The sequence below is a fragment of the Homo sapiens genome, chromosome 6 (assembly GCF_000001405.40).
Source record: "Homo sapiens chromosome 6, GRCh38.p14 Primary Assembly".
Lineage (NCBI taxonomy): Eukaryota > Metazoa > Chordata > Mammalia > Primates > Hominidae > Homo > Homo sapiens.
Window position 1 is genome coordinate 116,077,569 of NC_000006.12, and position 16,949 is coordinate 116,094,517.

At 40.3% G+C, this 16,949-nt stretch overlaps 1 protein-coding gene across 3 annotated transcripts in view, besides 5 other annotated features; it reads right to left on the reverse strand.

Annotated features, from left to right (window-relative positions):
• Window positions 1-16,949, reverse strand: part of FRK (fyn related Src family tyrosine kinase) — a 169,577-nt gene that overhangs the window by 146,420 nt on the left and 6,208 nt on the right. The window lies entirely within an intron of this gene.
• Window positions 9,919-10,098: an enhancer, noted in NCBI's record as "active region_24977". NCBI's record gives its function as "activates an Ori minimal core promoter by ATAC-STARR-seq in GM12878 lymphoblastoid cells {active_cell/tissue: GM12878}" and the evidence as "EXISTENCE:reporter gene assay evidence [ECO:0000049][PMID:35858748]".
• Window positions 10,109-10,158: an enhancer, noted in NCBI's record as "active region_24978". NCBI's record gives its function as "activates an Ori minimal core promoter by ATAC-STARR-seq in GM12878 lymphoblastoid cells {active_cell/tissue: GM12878}" and the evidence as "EXISTENCE:reporter gene assay evidence [ECO:0000049][PMID:35858748]".
• Window positions 11,216-11,385: an enhancer, noted in NCBI's record as "experimental_88040 CRE fragment used in MPRA reporter constructs". NCBI's record gives its function as "activates a minimal promoter by MPRAs in K562 erythroleukemia cells, with activity observed for the non-introgressed 6:116410032 variant allele {active_cell/tissue: K562}" and the evidence as "EXISTENCE:reporter gene assay evidence [ECO:0000049][PMID:34662402]".
• Window positions 12,759-12,968: an enhancer, noted in NCBI's record as "active region_24979". NCBI's record gives its function as "activates an Ori minimal core promoter by ATAC-STARR-seq in GM12878 lymphoblastoid cells {active_cell/tissue: GM12878}" and the evidence as "EXISTENCE:reporter gene assay evidence [ECO:0000049][PMID:35858748]".
• Window positions 13,578-13,823: a silencer, noted in NCBI's record as "fragment chr6:116412309-116412554 (GRCh37/hg19 assembly coordinates)". NCBI's record gives its function as "represses an EF-1alpha promoter that drives an FKBP-Casp9 reporter gene in an ReSE screen in HepG2 liver carcinoma cells {active_cell/tissue: HepG2}" and the evidence as "EXISTENCE:reporter gene assay evidence [ECO:0000049][PMID:32094911]".

Genomic DNA, 16,949 nt, shown 5'->3' on the forward strand with positions numbered 1-16,949 from the left:
ATTTAAACTGTAATTACCCTTAATTTCTTTCTTGATCACATATTCATGTGTACATTACCTTACTCATTGAACAGTTTTTTGAATATTTCCTAAATTCCAGGGACTATCTAGGTACTGGAGAAAGCTTGTGCTTCTTTCTTTCAGAGAAAATGGAGACTCTCCTTTGCTTTATTATAGATCTCGATGTCATCATGCCTATGACCAGACTCCTTTATTTGTTCCAACCCTGCCAGATCAACTAATACTATACAGCAGTTATGCAACTGGATGTTGACATGTCTTACAAGACAGTCTAAACATCTGAAAATTGGCCAGGTGCAGTGGCTCATGCCTGTAATCCCAGCACTTTGGGAGGCCAAGGCAGGCAGATCACGTGAGGTCAGAAGTTCAAGACCAGCCTGGCCAACATGGTGAAACCCCATCTCTACTAAAAACACAAAAATTAGCAGGGCATGGTAGCAGGTGGCTGTAATCCCAGCTACTCTGGAGGCTGAGGCAGGAGAATTGCTTGAACCTGGGAAGCGAAGGTTGCAGTGAGCTGAGATCGCACCATTGCACTCCAGCCTGGGCAACAAGAGCAAAACTCCATTTCATAAATAAATAAATAAACATTTGAAAATGAAAATGAACAAAATGACTTCTTTACTCAGGAGTAGTGTCCCAACTTCTGGACAGCAGTTATGAACGTGGGAGGATTTGTTAGAGGTGTTTAACTTGTTGGATAATATTGTTTTTTATTACTAGGACTAAAGACAATACAATAGTCTCCTGGGAACAGTCCTGTTTTTCTTCTAATGTCCCTTGACCAATCTGGGAAAATGAGTCTAACTAGCCTAGTGTCCAGTTATTAGATATCTGAGGTCCCTAAAGAGCTTGGGATGGACACATAGACTCCTAATAGCTAATGTATGTTAAGGGGTTGGTTTGTTTGTTTTAATGGGGTCAGGGGTAGTGTTAGTTGTTTTAATTCTCAAAACACCCCATGTGAAATAAATACCTTGTTTTGTTAAATTTTCAAAATTGTGAGATAGAGCTAACATACAGAAGAGTGCATAAACTTAAACATATAGCTTAACAAGTTGTCAGATGCGTGCTCATGTATTATAACACAGATAAAGAAACAAAACATTATTGACACACTAAAAGCCCCCTGCAGGACCGTCTGGATCATAGCTCTGTCTACCTCTCCCAGTGCCAAACACTTTCCTGACTTTTACAGAATTCAACTTCCTTTCATTTTTTTATTGTTTCACAACAGAATTAACCATCCCTAAAAGCATAGTTTAATTTTGCCTACATTTTTGTTCATACAGTTACCGTTCTGTTGTCTCTGGCCCCTTTTGCTTAGCATTATGACATTAAGATTCATCTAGTTTGTAACATATCAAAAGTCCATTCCTTTTCATTGCTGTGTATTGTAACTTTGTGTGGATATTCTATAACTGTGTATTCTGTTGGGATGCACTTTTGGGTTATTTGCGGTTTGGGGCCATTTTGAACAATGCTATAAATCTACATGCACACATTTTCTGGAGCGCAATGTGCACATTTCTCTCTCTAGCGGTGAAATTGCTGAGTAGTAGATTATAGGCATCTATACTAGATATTACCAAAGAGATTATTCATAAGAGTTCCTCTTGCTCCACATCTTTGCCTGACTTGAATTATCAGACTTTTAATTTTTGCCAATCTGATGGATTATAGTAATAGTTCCCTGAAGATCTTAATCTTCATTTTTCTGGTTTCCAGTGATATTGGGCATCTTAATTTGTATTCTATTTATATGTCCTCTTCTTTGATTCAGGTCTTTTGCCTATTTCTGCATTGGGTTTTTTGTTTTTTTTTTCAGAGTTCTTTCTGGATAAGGGCTCTTTATCAGTTATGCATGTTGAAAACACACATTTCTTCTTTGAGGCTTACTTCTTCACTATCTTAGTTGTGTCTTTTAATAAAAAGAAAACTTAATTTCATTGTAGGTACATTTAAAATGTTTTTTATGGATAATATTTATTATATTGTTTAATAAATCTCTTCTTTTTTGAGACAGAATCTTGCTCTGTCACCCAAGCTGGAGTGCAGTGGCACGGTCATGGCTCACTGCAGCCTTGACCTTCTGGGCTAAAATGACCCTCCCACTGTGTGCCCTGAGCAGATGGGACTACAGACACATGCTAATTTTTTAATTTTTTGTAGAGACAGGGTCTTACTATGTTGCCCAGGCTGGTCTCAAACTCCTGAGTTCAAACAATTCTGCCTCAGCCTTCCAAACTGCTGGGATTACAGGTGTGAGCCACTCTCCTTGGCCATAACAACTCTCTTCTTATTCTAAGATTATGAAAATAGTATCTTATGTTACCTTTACCCTACCTCAGCTCAAAATGAATAATTAAAATGTAATCAATGAGAAAAAGAAGACCTATTAAATAAAGGGTATATTGACCCAATTGACTATCCGTTAAAAATAGTAATGTGAATATGTACTTTTTTTATAATAAAAGTATTTGAGTTAGATTAAAAGTATAATGCAACGATAGCATAAAACATTAGAAGAAAATATAAGAAAAATGTTTTTAAAATCTAGGTAGAGAAAAAGCCTTTTTGTTTGTTTGTTTGTTTTTGAGATGGTCACCAGGTTGGAGTACAGTGGCATGATTGCGGCTCACTGCAACCTCCGAATCCCAGGTTCAAGCAATTATCCTGCCTCAACCTCCTGAGTAGCTGGGACTACAGGCACCTGCCACCACACCTGGCTAATTTTTGTATTTTTAGTAGAGATGGGGTTTCACCATGTTAGCCAGGATGGTCTCAATCTCCTGACCTCATGATCCACCCACCTCAGACTCCCAAAGTGCTAGGATTACAGGCGTGAGCCATTGCACTGGGCCAAAAAAGCCTTTTTAAGTATGAAACCCAGAAGCCTTGAACCCAACATCTGGCAGATTTGCCTACGCAAAAATGTTAAACTTCTATAACATACCACATTTATATAATACCACAAGGAAAGCTACAACACAAAGTTGAAAATAATTGCAGTCTAGAAAATAGACAATGGATTAATATTTATACCATATGAAAACTTTCCACACGTTAGAGAAAAAAGAAATAACCCATAAGAAAATGAGCAAGAGATATGAACAGACAATTCATAGGCAAAGAAACATAGAAGGACTTCTAAGCATATAGCATATGCTCAAAGTCATTAATAATGAGAGAAATGCAAATTAACACTACAATGAGATCTATTGTTTGCCCTTGATTGACAAAAAATATAAATATTGATAATATCCATTTTGATATGGATGTGAGAAAATAGATGTTGTATTAGTCTGTTCTCATGCTGCTAATAAAGACATACCCAAGACTGGGTAATTTATAAAGGAAAGAGGTTTAATTGACTCACTGTTCAGCATGGCTGGGGAGGCCTCACAATCAAGGTGGAAGGCAAAGGAGGAGCAAAGTCATGTCCTACATGGTGGCAGACAAGACAGCATTGCAGGGAAACTGCCCTTTTATAAAACCATCAGATCTCAAGAGACTTATTCACTATCTCGAGAACAGCATAGGAAAAACCTGCCCCCATGATTCAATTACCTTCCACTGGGTGCCTCCCACAACATGCAGGGATTATGGGAGCAACAGTTCAAGATGAGATTTCAGTGGAGACACAGCCAAACCATACCAGATATCTTCAAACACTTTTTGTGGAGGTGCAAATCAGTACCATCGTTTTGGAGAGCAATTTGTCACTATTTATGATATACATTCTGTTTGATCCCATAATTCCACTTGTAAAAAATGATTCTATAGGCCAGGTGCAGTGGCTCACGCCTGTAATCCCAGCACTTTGGGAGGCCAAGGTGGGCGGATCACCTGAGGTCAGGAGTTTCAGACCAGCCTGGCCAACATGGTGAAAACCCTGTCTCTAATAAAAATACAAAAATTAGCCGGGTGTGGTTGTGGGTGCCTGTAATCCTAGCTACTCAGGAGGCTGAGGCAGGAGAATTGCTTGAGCCTGGGAGGCAGAGGTTGCTGTGACCCGAGACCATGCCACTGCACTCCAACCTAGGCAGCAGAGTGCAACTCCATATAAAAATATATATATATATATATTCCACAGACATAAAAGATAACAATAATAATAATAATGGTTACACTTACTGAGCACTTGTTATGGGTCAACTGATATTATTAAGAGAAAACAGCAAATATCTACACATTAATCAAGTGTTTTAATTGAATCCCTATTATGCATCATATGCTGTTCTAGATGCTGGAACTTCAGCATAGGCACACACCAAAAAGAAAAATTTCTGTCCTCATGGAGATTTACATTATAGTGGGAGGGGAGAGAATAATAATAAACAATAATCATAATAAATCAATAACATGCTCTATTAGAAGATGGTTAAGTACTAAGGGAGAGCACAGCAAAGATAAATGGTGTGTGGGAAATTTGAAATCTAATCACCCAAGAGGGTATAATTTAAGCAAAAATATAAAGAAGTTACACAGATATCTAGGAAAAGAGCATTCTAGGCAGAGTGATAAACCGCTGAAAGATCTCTGAAGGGGGAGCTTGTACCGCATATTTGAGGAATAGAAAGAAGGCTGGTTTGATTGTAGCAGAGTGAGAGAAAAGATATAGTAAGAGATAAGAAAGGGTAACAGAGACCTGACAGTGTACACCTTGTTGCACCATGATGACCTTAGACTCGATTCTGAGTGAGGCTAAAAGCCACTGGAAGGATATAAACAGAAGGCAAAATCTATTTTATGCTTAAAGAAGCTCTCTGCCTTGGGCTAAGGACAGAATTGGGATGGAGAGGGATGAGGGTAGAAGTAGGAGGACCAGTTAGGGGCTATTGCAATATTCCAGGCTGGAAATGGTGGTGACTTGGATCCAGGTGGTAGCAGTGAAGCAGTGTAACCACCTGGATCCAAGCAGTGAAGTTAGAAATGGCTAGATTCTGGATATATGTTTAAAGTGGAGGTGCAGCATTTGATCATGAATTAGATGTGAGATGTAAGAGCAAGAAAGGAATAAAGAATGGCTCCAAGCATTTTTGTCTGACAAACTGGAAAACATAGAGTTTCTATTAACTAGCTCAGGAAAGACTATGGATACAGCAGGTTTTGGAGGAAAAATTAGGTCACTTTTAGACAGTAGAGCTTAAGAGGTCTATTAGATCTCCAAATGGAGATGTCAAGTGGACAACTAGATCTATAAACCTAAATTCAGAAGAGAGGTCAAGGCAAGGAATAAAAATGTTGGAGTTTTCAAAGTATAGATATATCTTTTAAGTCATCAGATCAGATTTAAAGAAGAGAAAATAGGAGGCAGAAGGAAGGGGAGGGAAAGGAACAGAGATGTTTAGACATCAAGAAGACAAGGAACCATCAAGACATCAAGAAGATGAGGAAGTTCAAGGAACGCAGAAGTTTAGACATCAAGAAGATGAGGAAGAACCAGCAAAGGAGACTGAGAAGGATCAGTCAATGAAGAAGGAGTAGGGTTCCTATAAGCCCAAAGGCGTTTACCAAGGAGGGAGAGATCAACTCTGTCAAATGACGGTCATGGATAAAATAAAATAAAATAATACTGAGGATTGACCATTGGGTTTAGCAAATAAATAACGTCAGTGACTCTACAGTTTTTGTGGAATATTGAAGGGCAAAGTTCACCTTCATGTGCTTAAGAGAGAATGGGAGCGAAAACAGATTGCAAACAGTGAGACAAACAACTATTTCAATCAGTTTTCATCAAAGGGGAGCAGAGAAGCAAGTTTGCATGGGAAAAAAAAAGCTTTGTTTTGTTTTAAGATGAGAAAATTAACAGCATGTTTGTATGATGGTGAGAATGATTTAGCGGAAATAAAAAATATCATCAGAGGAGGGGGGAAGCAGTATTTTTGAGAGGATGCATAAGTCTAGTGCCTAAGTGAAGGGTTAGCTTTACCTAAAAATGCAGATAATTTATAGCAATGATTCTCAAATTCTAATATACATTGGAATCATCTAGAGGTTTTATTAAAGTACAGATTGCTGGGCCCGACCTCCAGAGTTTCTGATTCAGTATTTCTCGAGTGGGACCCAAAAATTTGTTTCTAACAAGTTCCCAGGTACTACTGCTAGGAACCACAAGATAAGAACCACTGCCTATAGTAACAATCATAGTTTACTGCAAACTCAAACTACTGGGCTGGAGTGATCCTCCCACATCAGCCTCCTGAGTATGTGGGAGCCACCATGCCCAGCTAATTTTTTTTTTTTTTTGGATAGATGAGGCCTCATTATGTTGCCCAGGCTGGTCTCAAATTCCTAGACTCAAGTGATTGTCCCACCTTGGCCTCCCAAAGCACTGGGATTACAGGCATGAGCCACAGTGCTTAGCCCTAAGGAAGCTTTTTTGACTGCTTATATATTCACAGAAAAATAAAAGTTCGGTCAATATCTGAGAGTGAAGATGAGGGTGAAGGTGGTAGCAGTTTGATGAAAGGAAAAATATGAAATAATTGCTAGGATACCAGCAAAGCAAATGCACCAAGGCAATAAAATATGATTACCCACTAGCACTAACTACTCATCGAATGGTTATATATATTTTCTTTAGGCAGGATCAGTTGCTCAAGTGTGAATGCAGACAATAAAAAGAGTCAAACTTATACATCTGTTAACCAAAAGAAGATAACCAATGTGTATAAGTATTGCTACACAAGTAACCCCAAAACTCGGTGGTTTAAAATAGTATTTATTATTACTCAGGAGTCTAAGGTCAGTTGGTAGTCATATTGATCTGGACCAGGCTTGGATGATCATGGCTGGACTCATTCATGGTCTGCAGTCGGTTCACAGTTCAGCTGGGGACTGACTGTTTTCAGATGGCTTTGCTCACATGTCTGGCAGATCAGTGATTACAGGCTGTGATGACTGGGGTGACTGTAATAATCATCTCCTAGCAGTCTAGTTCAGCCTTATTCAAATAGCTGTAGCAGAATTCCCAAAATACTGTGGAATTCCTCATGGCCTCTTGTGACTCAGACTCAGAACAGGCAAGATGTCACTTTCCACTTGATGTTATTGGCCAAAACAGGTCACAAAGCTAGATCATATTTAAGATGGAGAGAAACAGATTCTTTGCCTTGATGAGAAGTGTTGCAAAGTTGTATTGTAAGGGGCATGGATACAGGGAAAGGAATAATTATGCCTAATTTTGATTGTGGTTTTTTCTAGGAATACAAAGAGGTGAGAGAGGAATATCAAATTAGGATATATCAATGAAGTGATTATAATGATTCTCTATGAATATTCATAGCTTTGCAAAAAGAAGTGATAAGATAATGGCAGTGAAGGACACAGTGAAAAGGAAGTGGGGTTCATTAGATTTTAGATACCAGTGGCCTCTAAGGATTGTTGGGGTAGGATACTTGAGAACATGAGTGGGAAAGATAGAAGGGGGCAGTTAAGAGAGTGGTATGCCTGCTTTGAAATTATGAAGGATGTGTGAAAGCGTGGCTGAGGTTGTGTGGGTGACAAGAACATCACAGAAGTTAAAGGAATTGAGAGCCTAGAGTATTAGAATCATTAAAAATTAAGAAATAAGTAGGATGGAAAAAATACAATGAAGTAGGAGCTAAAATTTTAAAGAAATGGGAAGTGTGGGGAGTTGAGGGATGACTAGGATAGGTTGGTACATACCGCATACATATCTGTATTTTGTGTGTTGGAATAGATCTTTAAGGACATTCACTCAACTGCTATCAGCAGTTACTTCTGGGAATAATAATGATGATAAATGTGTGAAGTAGTGAAAGGGGATTTTCATTTTAAATCTATTTGCTTCTCTTTTTTGTTGTTTCATAACACATATGTATTATGCATAAATGACTTAGTCTAAAGAAAAGGTTCAAGTAAGAAAGCAAAAGTGTTGAACTTCTTGTCACAAACATTGGAATTTGAATTATATTTGTAAAATGAGTGTGCATTTACCTATTTCCATGCTGTTACGATGAGTGAGGTAATTATCTACTGTTCTTAATACAATGTCTGGCATATTAGAAGGAGCTCAAGAATGTTTTCTATTTCTCTACCCACTGACAAATCCCCCCATCACCACATGCACCACATGCACAGGCCGTGTGTGTGTGGGTGTGTGTGTGTGTGTGTGCATGCCACAGAGAGAGAGGGAGAGATGGTACAGAGAAGGTTACATATGAACACGGAGATTCTGTAGCACTTTTGTATTCTCCTTGGAGTACTCTCAGATTTTGAGATGAAAAGGAAGAAAGAAAATGGACATGTTTTTGTTTATATAACAATTACCTGGCTAATTTCCAGAAGAGAATAGTAGTAACAATAAATTACACATACATTGACACTTCCATTGTAAGCTGTAAGCAGCATTTATTCAACCATTCTCATTACCGTTTGAATGTCCAAATGACTTTTTTTTTTTTTTGAGACAGAGTCTCACACTGTCGCCCAGGCTGGAGTGCAGTGGCATGATCTCTGCTCACTGTAAGCTCCGCCTCCCGAGTTCACGCCATTCTCCTGCCTCAGCCTCCCGAGTAGCTTGGACTACAGGTACCCACCACCATGCCCGGCTAATTGTTTGTATTTCCAAATGACATTTTAAAAATACAGCTTTAAAAACAAGTCGCAGGGGACAAAAAGTACTATTTTCCAACAGTCAAAAGTCACAATGAAGAGAATTTAGTAGGTAGTATTATCTCAATATAGATAAAAATCTATTAATAGGAACTAAGGGAACACTATGAATCTCATGATAAAATCCATAAACCTAAGTTCCTAAAATAAGTATTTTTCTATGTGATGTACTATTTAAAAAGTAAGTGCTGCTGGGTAAGCTCATTCTCAGTTTCCTAAAATGTTAGCTTAGGCTGTCTTTATGCTGTAATTATTTATATAGTCTGCCCATCAGTTCTTGGTGTGGGAAATGGTCTACCAAAGGTCAAATTAAAAGTAGTAGCTCATGCACTGATACTAGTATTTGACAGAACGAAAAATTAATGGTTGTCAGAACATTTCCTGAAATTGGCTCCAAGCAACTGAAATCTTTATTCTAAATCTGTGATTAATTGATTACTAAGGACATGGGATTCAGAGTTTCAGTGAAATATGGGTGCCTATGGCCTCTGAATAAAAGCTTCTTTGCAGCCATTGATAACTTCACAACTGAAAAGATGAAAATGAATAAATGGGAATTCATTCATTCATTCAATGGATATTATGTGCCAGGTTGTGTGCTAGGCACTGAGACACAAAAGTGAACAAGACGAAGTCCCCATCTGAAATAACTTAGAGCTGGAGGAGAAGACTGACATGAAAACAGGTTATAATACCACAAAAAGATGTAAAGATAACTTCAGGTTCCTGCAGCTAGACAAAATACTTGATGTCGTTTCTAAAGGTAATGTGGGAGATATCCTGCATGGGAATGGAAGTCAGGAAATCAAGGGAGAAAAAATATTTTGAGCAGAGCGCGCAGCATGAATGAAAGAAGCATTGCCAAAATAACGTCTCCTCTTTATTTTATACACATTGTTTTATTGTAGTTATCAGGTTATGTGCCATCTCTTTCTCTAAACCGCAGGGCCCTCTAGGCAAGGTACTTACTTTGTCTATATTTTTATGGTAGCTACCATAGTGCCTGGCACGCAGTATATTCTCAATAAACATTTGCTAAACTGAACTGAGAAGTAAGAAGCCAAGAGTTTACTAGCATTTAAAAAGAAAAAAATAGAAGTTTATTCAATAAAATATTTCAACCAATGTACCCAACACATACCAGGTTATATTTATGCTACAATATTGATCAGCCCTGCCCTCTGCACCCTAGAGTAACCCCAAAGCCTAAGCTGCCCCACCTAACTGGACCAGCTTTTTCTGTGTGTTCCAGCATGCTAAATAAACTTCACCATTTTCTATGTGAGTCATGACACGAACACGTTTGGAAAGCACTAAACTATTTATGGTAATTTCCACTGAGTTGTATTACTTTGCCTTGGGGCAGAGAATACAGAGTAGCCCACAGATGGAACAGAAAGAGAAGATACAGAAGGAACAGGGGGTTAGAGACAGACTGGCCAACAGATGGAGACACCATTCCCAGCCTAATTCTTATAGATTGGAATAAATTTTGTGGACTATACTGAAGTGAATGAGCTTTTACAAGAATGGCCACTGTAGCAGATGGCACTGGTACTCTGTTTCACATCCCCTTAGCCCACTTTTGATTTCAACCACAGCTCATACATGCTCATTTTCATGTAAGTACAGACTTACAGCACACTAGCAATGACCCACCTCAACAGAGCTCTGCAAGGTCTTTCTCCTTTGTGCCCAAGGGCCTTCTCTGAGGCCATAGGAGCCCAAGTACAAGCACGGCCTGAAAGTTGGTGAGTGGATAACCCTCAATCATGACAACAGGAGCCAGCGGGTAAACACTCAGCCTCTCCTCCTTCCAGTGGACAATTCCAGGAAGTATCCTCTGTGTTTCATGGGACATGCCAGCAGAATTGAACCACCGTTGCCTACAACAGTGATCTTGATGTTGCTTTTTGGTATTGTTACTGGCTTACTCTCTCTCCATTAATTTACTGTTTATTCCTGGGATCATCTCCTAACATACCACCTGCAGCCAAGTCCTTGTCACAGGCTCTGCTTTTAGGGCAACCCATCCATGAGAAAGATGCAGTAAAGTAACTTTTGAGAAATTATAAATTTTCTGCAAATAGTAATAAAAAAAACAGACATGAGAACTCAATACCTCAGTGCACAATGGTATAGGACAAGAACTATAAAACAAGCTAACCCTGGAAGAAGAGAAAGCCTGACCTAAGAGCATTCTCTTACCCCAAAAACATTTCCTCTGATTTCTTAAGGGCAAGGAAGTTGAAAACAAATGTCATAATCTCACCAAATAACATTTATATTTTGTTGCATATGTACACACATATAATTGTACACTACAGAGTATGTGATATGTACTATGTCATTTTCAGCTAAAATATTTAGCACCTTGCTAACATCCCTGGTTCAAGGTTTCTTCTTATGTATGGTCGTAGTTCAATTTCTCAAGTCTAGCTAATATTGCAGATGTGATTCTGGTGCTCAGAGCAAGCAAAGCCAGGGACAATGTCTGACAAATTCAATAATAATTTATGAATGAATGATTGATTGGTTTTTTAATATGATTAGCTCTCCTTGGATGCTTTCAGTCAGTTAAGTCATGAAAGTAAACACTTTCTGAGTTAACTGACTGAAAGGTGCCCAAGAGGTCTGAAGACAAAGAAGTTATGCACTTAAGACTGAGCCATGGGGAGCCCCACATTGACTGGATCACAGTTTATAAGGGATTCCTGAAATATGTTCATATTTGGCATACCCTTAAATAATCAAAAATTTAACTCACCTAGATATTTGAAAAATTGGAATCAATACATGAGGCAAAAGAGGAAAGGACAGACATGAGTGTAAGAACCATTTCAGTCTTCTTACATATTATTTATACTGCTATTACCATCAAAATGCTGACCACACTCCAAAACTATCTCACAAATTTCCCATAATCCCTCAGAGACACCAATCCCTAGATAAAAAGGCTTGGCTTAAATGCTTCCATTATATCTTTGTTTATAGATTTTGCTCATGCTGCATAACATTAAGATATTGACTGAGATATCTTTGCTTCAAATTTCCCCCCACTCAGAAAGCAGCAATAGTTTTCTCAGCCCAGCCCTAAAAGGAAGATCTTCTAGAGCAGAAAAGAGAGACAATTCTTAGTTTTGTTTCCCAAAATGAACTCTAGACTCTAATAGTAAATAAATAGTCTTGAATGCTGTATTAGTTTGCTAGGGCTGCCATAACAATATGCCACAGATTGGGTGGCTTGAATAACGGACATGTATTTCTTACAGTTCTGGAGGCTGGAAGTCCAAGATCAAGGTGTCAGCAGGCTTGGTTTCTTCTGAGGCCTGTTTTGTCTTGTAGACGGCTGCCTTCTCACTGTGGCTTCACATGACTTTTCTTTCTCACTGTGTCCTCACACACTCTTTGTTTGTGCATCTCTGCTGTATCTTTATGTGTCTAATTTTCTCTTCTTATAAGGACAACAGACAGATTGGATCTGGGCCCACCTTAAAGCCTCATGTTAACTTAATCACCTCTTCAAAGGCCCTATCACCAAGTATCATCACATTCTGAAATACTGAGGGTTAGAGCTTTAAAATATGACTTTTGGACGGACACATTTCCGCCTATAACAAACCCCAAGGCACATTTGACTTTACTTCTGAAGGAAAAAAAAAATACTAATTACAAAAATGTTTCCAAAAAGTTTGTTGCAAAAGGATATTGAGTCCCTGTCTCACAATGCCAGATTTAGCAAATAAAAATATAGAATATCAATTTAAATTTGAATTTCAGATAAATTTGAATTTCAGATAAACAAATAATTTTTTAGCATTAAGAAGTTCCACAAAATTTGGGGCATTCAAATTTAATTGGGCATTTTGTATTTTATCTGTGAATGTTAGTCTCAGATAAACAGGATGAAGAGCATGATAATGAGTCGTGTCATGGGTCCTACACTCTGTTCCACTGCAAGGTTAAATCCCTTGCACAGGAAACAACAGCACCCCCAACATGAGTTTGGGGGTCCCAAAGCAGAGAAAACTAGGTCCTGATTTGCATTTAGAATTCTGAGAGAAAACAGCTTTGCAGGGTGTAATGTGATGATACGGGACAGTGATTAGAATAGGAACAGTGGGTCACATCTAGAGACAGGGTCTGAGGTGGTGACCTCACCTTCCCCCATCATAGTACATACATCTTCTTTTTCTGTGGTTCCAAAACCAAAGGTTTCCTGTGATTGCAAGATAAATACAGAGGTTGGCTGAGTGTGGAGAGGCAGGCCTGAAATGGCCGCATGGTTTGAGTCAAAACTAAACATGTTTTAGACAACACTGTAACTGAAGTGTTTTAAAGTTTATACAGCAGTGGTGGTTACAGACAATGTGTCTAGAGGCAACCTAAAATCACCAGGGATGGTCTAGTCCAGGAAAAGCCATGCATATGGATGCCATTAACCAAGGATCAAAATTCTCTCCCCAGACCTCTCAATAGTATGTTAGCCCTTCTGCAATTTAGAAGCCCCACACCCCCAAAAGAACAGCCAAAGTCAAAGAGAGGTATTATAAAGTGACAGTCAAAGAGACATTAAGTTTAACCTGGAACTAGCTGAGCTTACCTTGAGTTTATCCATATTGTATTTCCATCTCAGCTGCTGGCAAATCAACATTCCCTATCATATATCATTAAAGTTGATTATTTGAACCTTAAAGCAAAACTTAACATTTAATTAAATTTCATTTCATTGCTCTACCATTTGAGATTTTTTTAAAATTGTAATCCTGCCACTTAATATCTATCCAAGAGGAATTCATTTCATATTCTAAACATTTTTTAAAATCTAGACACAATCTTTGTAAGAAGTTTCCTACAAAAGTGAGAGGTGAAGCCAGTTGGACTTCCTGGGTCATGTGGGGACTTGGAGATTTTTTGTGTCTAGCTAAAGGATTGTAAATGTACCAATCAGCACTCTGTGTCTAGCTAAAGGATTGTAAATGCACCAATCAGCACTCTGTAAAAACACAGCAATCAGAGCTCTGTGTCTAGCTAAAGGATTGTAAATGCACTATCAGCACTCTGTAAAATGGACCAATCAGCAGGACATGGGTGGGGACAAATAAGGGAATAAAAGCTGGCCACCCCAGCCAGCAGCGGCAGCCTGCTTGGGTCCCCTTCCATGCTGTGGAAGCTTTGTTCTTTCGCTCTTCACAATAAATCTTGCTTCTGCTCGCTCTTTGGGTCTGCGCCACCTTTAAGAGCTCTAACACTCACCGCGAAGGTCCGAGGCTTCATTCTTGAAGTCAGTGAGACCAAGAACCCACCGGAAGGAACCAACTCCAGACACATTTTGGCAACCATGAAGGGACTATTGCCTATCACCAAGCAGTGAGTACCATCGGACCCCTTTCGCTTGCTATTCTGTCCTATTTTTCCTTAGAATTCGGGGGCTAAACACCAGGCAACTGTTGGCCAGTTAAAAGAGACTAGTGTGGCCGTCAGACTGAAGACAGGGGTGTCAGGGTTTCTGGGAAAGGGCTCTCTGACAACCCCCGGCTCTTTGGAGTTGGGAGCATTGGTTTGCCTGGAACCAGCTTCCACTTTTCCTGTACTTCTGGGCTGAGCCGAGGGTCGACGGAGAGGAAAGCCATTCAGCTCTGGGGTCCAGACAAAAAGTTGGTTGACCCTGTAGCCATGTGTGGAACTTTCAAAGTCATGTCACCCAAGCGAAACTTGCCCATCTATCCTATCTAGCCTGACCCTCGCCTCTTGGGTCCTAATGCCAGTCAGACAAGCTTCCTCTTACCTCCATTCTCCGAGGCTAGTCCCACTTCTAAAAACCACTCCCTGTCTCTGGTGCTTTTCTAGTTTCTCCTATAAGAATGATTTCTAGTATAAACTTCAGGACTCTGTTACCTTCTTTAGGCACCTGGGCTTACCAATCAGAGGCATAATTTTTGCCCAAAGCCCTGTCGGGTGGGGACTATCTGGAATTTTAGGATCTCCCCTCAGACTAGAAGGCCTAACAAAAGCTATTCCTGAAGCTAGGATATGGGGAGTCTCAGAAATGATATCCTTCCTATCCATATGATGAGAAGTAGGACAAAAGGCGTCACTCTTCCAACCCTGGAGATCCCTTCCCTCCCTCAGGGTATGGCCCTCCACTTCATTTTTGGGGCATAACATCTTTATAGGACAGTGGTAAGGTCCCAATACTAACAGGAGAATGCTTAGGACTCTAACAGGTTTTTGAGAATGCATCGGTAAGAGCCACTAAATCCAATTTTTCTCGGTCCTCTTTGTGGTCTAGGAGGACAGGCAAAGGTGCAGGTTTTCAAGAAAGCATCAGTAAGGGCCACTAAATCCGACCTTCCTCGGTCCTCCCTGTGGTGTAGGAGGAAAACTAGTGTTTCTGCTGCTGCGTCAGTGAGCACAACTATTCTGATCAACAGGGTCCAGGGACCGTTGTGGGTTCTTGAGCAAGAAGGGTTTCTGCTGCTGCGTCGGTGAGTGCAACTATTCCGATCAGCAGGGTCTGGGGACCGTTGCGAGTTCTTGGGTAGCAGCAGGAAAACAAACAAACCAAAATCATGGGCAGATTTTTCTTTCACATGGGAAACACTCAGTCATCAACAGGCTCATCCTTGAAATGCATCCTAAGCCATTGGGACCAATTTGACCCACAAACCCTGAAAAAGAGGCAGCTCATTTTTTTCTGCACTATTGCCTGGTCCCAATATTCTCTCTCTGATAGGGAAAAATGGCCACCTGAGGGAGGTATAAATAACAATACTATCCTGCAGCTTGACCTTTGCTGTAAGAGGGAAGGCAAACGGAGTGAAATACCTTATGTCCAAGCTTTCTTTTCATTGAAGGTGAATCCACAACTATGCAAAGCTTGCAATTTACATCCCACAGGAGGACCTCTCAGCTTACCCCCATAGCCTAGCCTCCCTATAGCTCCCCTTCCTATTAATGATAAGCCTCCTCCAATCTCCCCTGCCCAGAAGGAAATAAGCAAAGAAATCTCCAAGAGACCAAAAAAACCCCCGGGCTATCAGTTATGTCCCCTTCAAGCTGTAGGGGGAGGGGAATTTGGCCCAACCCAGGTACATGTCCCCTTCTCCCTCTCTGATTTAAAGCAGATCAAGGTAGACCTGGGGAAGTTTTCAGATGATCCTGATAGGTACATAGATGTCCTACAGGGTCTAGGGCAAACCTTTGATCTCACTTGGAAAGATGTCATGCTATTGTTAGATCAAACCCTGGCCTTTAATGAAAAGAATGCTTTAGCTGCAGTCCGAGAGTTTGGAGATACCTGGTATCTTAGTCAAGTAAATGACAGAATGACAGCTGAAGAAAGGGACAAATTCCCTACTGGTCAGCAAGCCATCCCCAGTATGGATCCCCACTGGGACCTTGACTCAGATCATGGGGACTGGAGTTGCAAACATTTGTTGACCTGTGTTCTAGAAGGACTAAGGAGAATTAGGAAAAATGAATTATGCAATGATGTCCACCATAACTCAGGGAAAGGAAGAAAATCCTGCCTTCCTCAAGTGGCTATGGGAGGCCTTAAGAAAATACACTCCCCTGTCACCTGACTCACTTGAGGTTCAATTGATCCTAAAAAATAAGTTTATTACCCAATCAGCCACAGATATCAGGAGAAAGCTAAAGTGAGCCCTGGGCCCTGAACAAAATCTGGAGGCATTATTAAACCTGGCAACCTCAGTGTTCTATAATAGGGACCAAAAGGAACAGGCTGAAAAGGAAAAGCAAGATAAGAGAAAGGCCGCAGCCTTAGTCATGGCCCTCAGACAAACAAACCTTGGTGTTTCAGAAAGGACAGAAAATGAAGCAGGCCAGTCACCCAGTAGGGCTTGTTACAAGTGTGGTTTTCAAGGATACCTTAAAAATACTGTCCAACAAGAAACAAGCTGCCCCCTCGCTCATGTCCACTATGCCGAGGCAATCACTGGAAGGTGCACTGCCCCAGGGGACAAAGGTTCTCTGGACCAGAATCCCCCAACAAGATGATCCAATAACAGGACTGAGGGTGCCCGGGGCAAGCGCCAGCTCATGTCATAACCCTCACTGAGCCCCGGGTACATTTAACCATTAAGGGCCAGAAAATTGACTTCCTCCTGGACACTGGCGTGGCTTTCTCAGTGTCCTGTCCCGGACAGCTGCCTCAAGGTCCATTACCATCCAAGGAATCCTGGGACGGCCTGTAACCAGGTATTTCTCCCACCTTCTCAGTTGTAATTGGTAGACTTTGCTACAGATAGTAAGTATGCTTA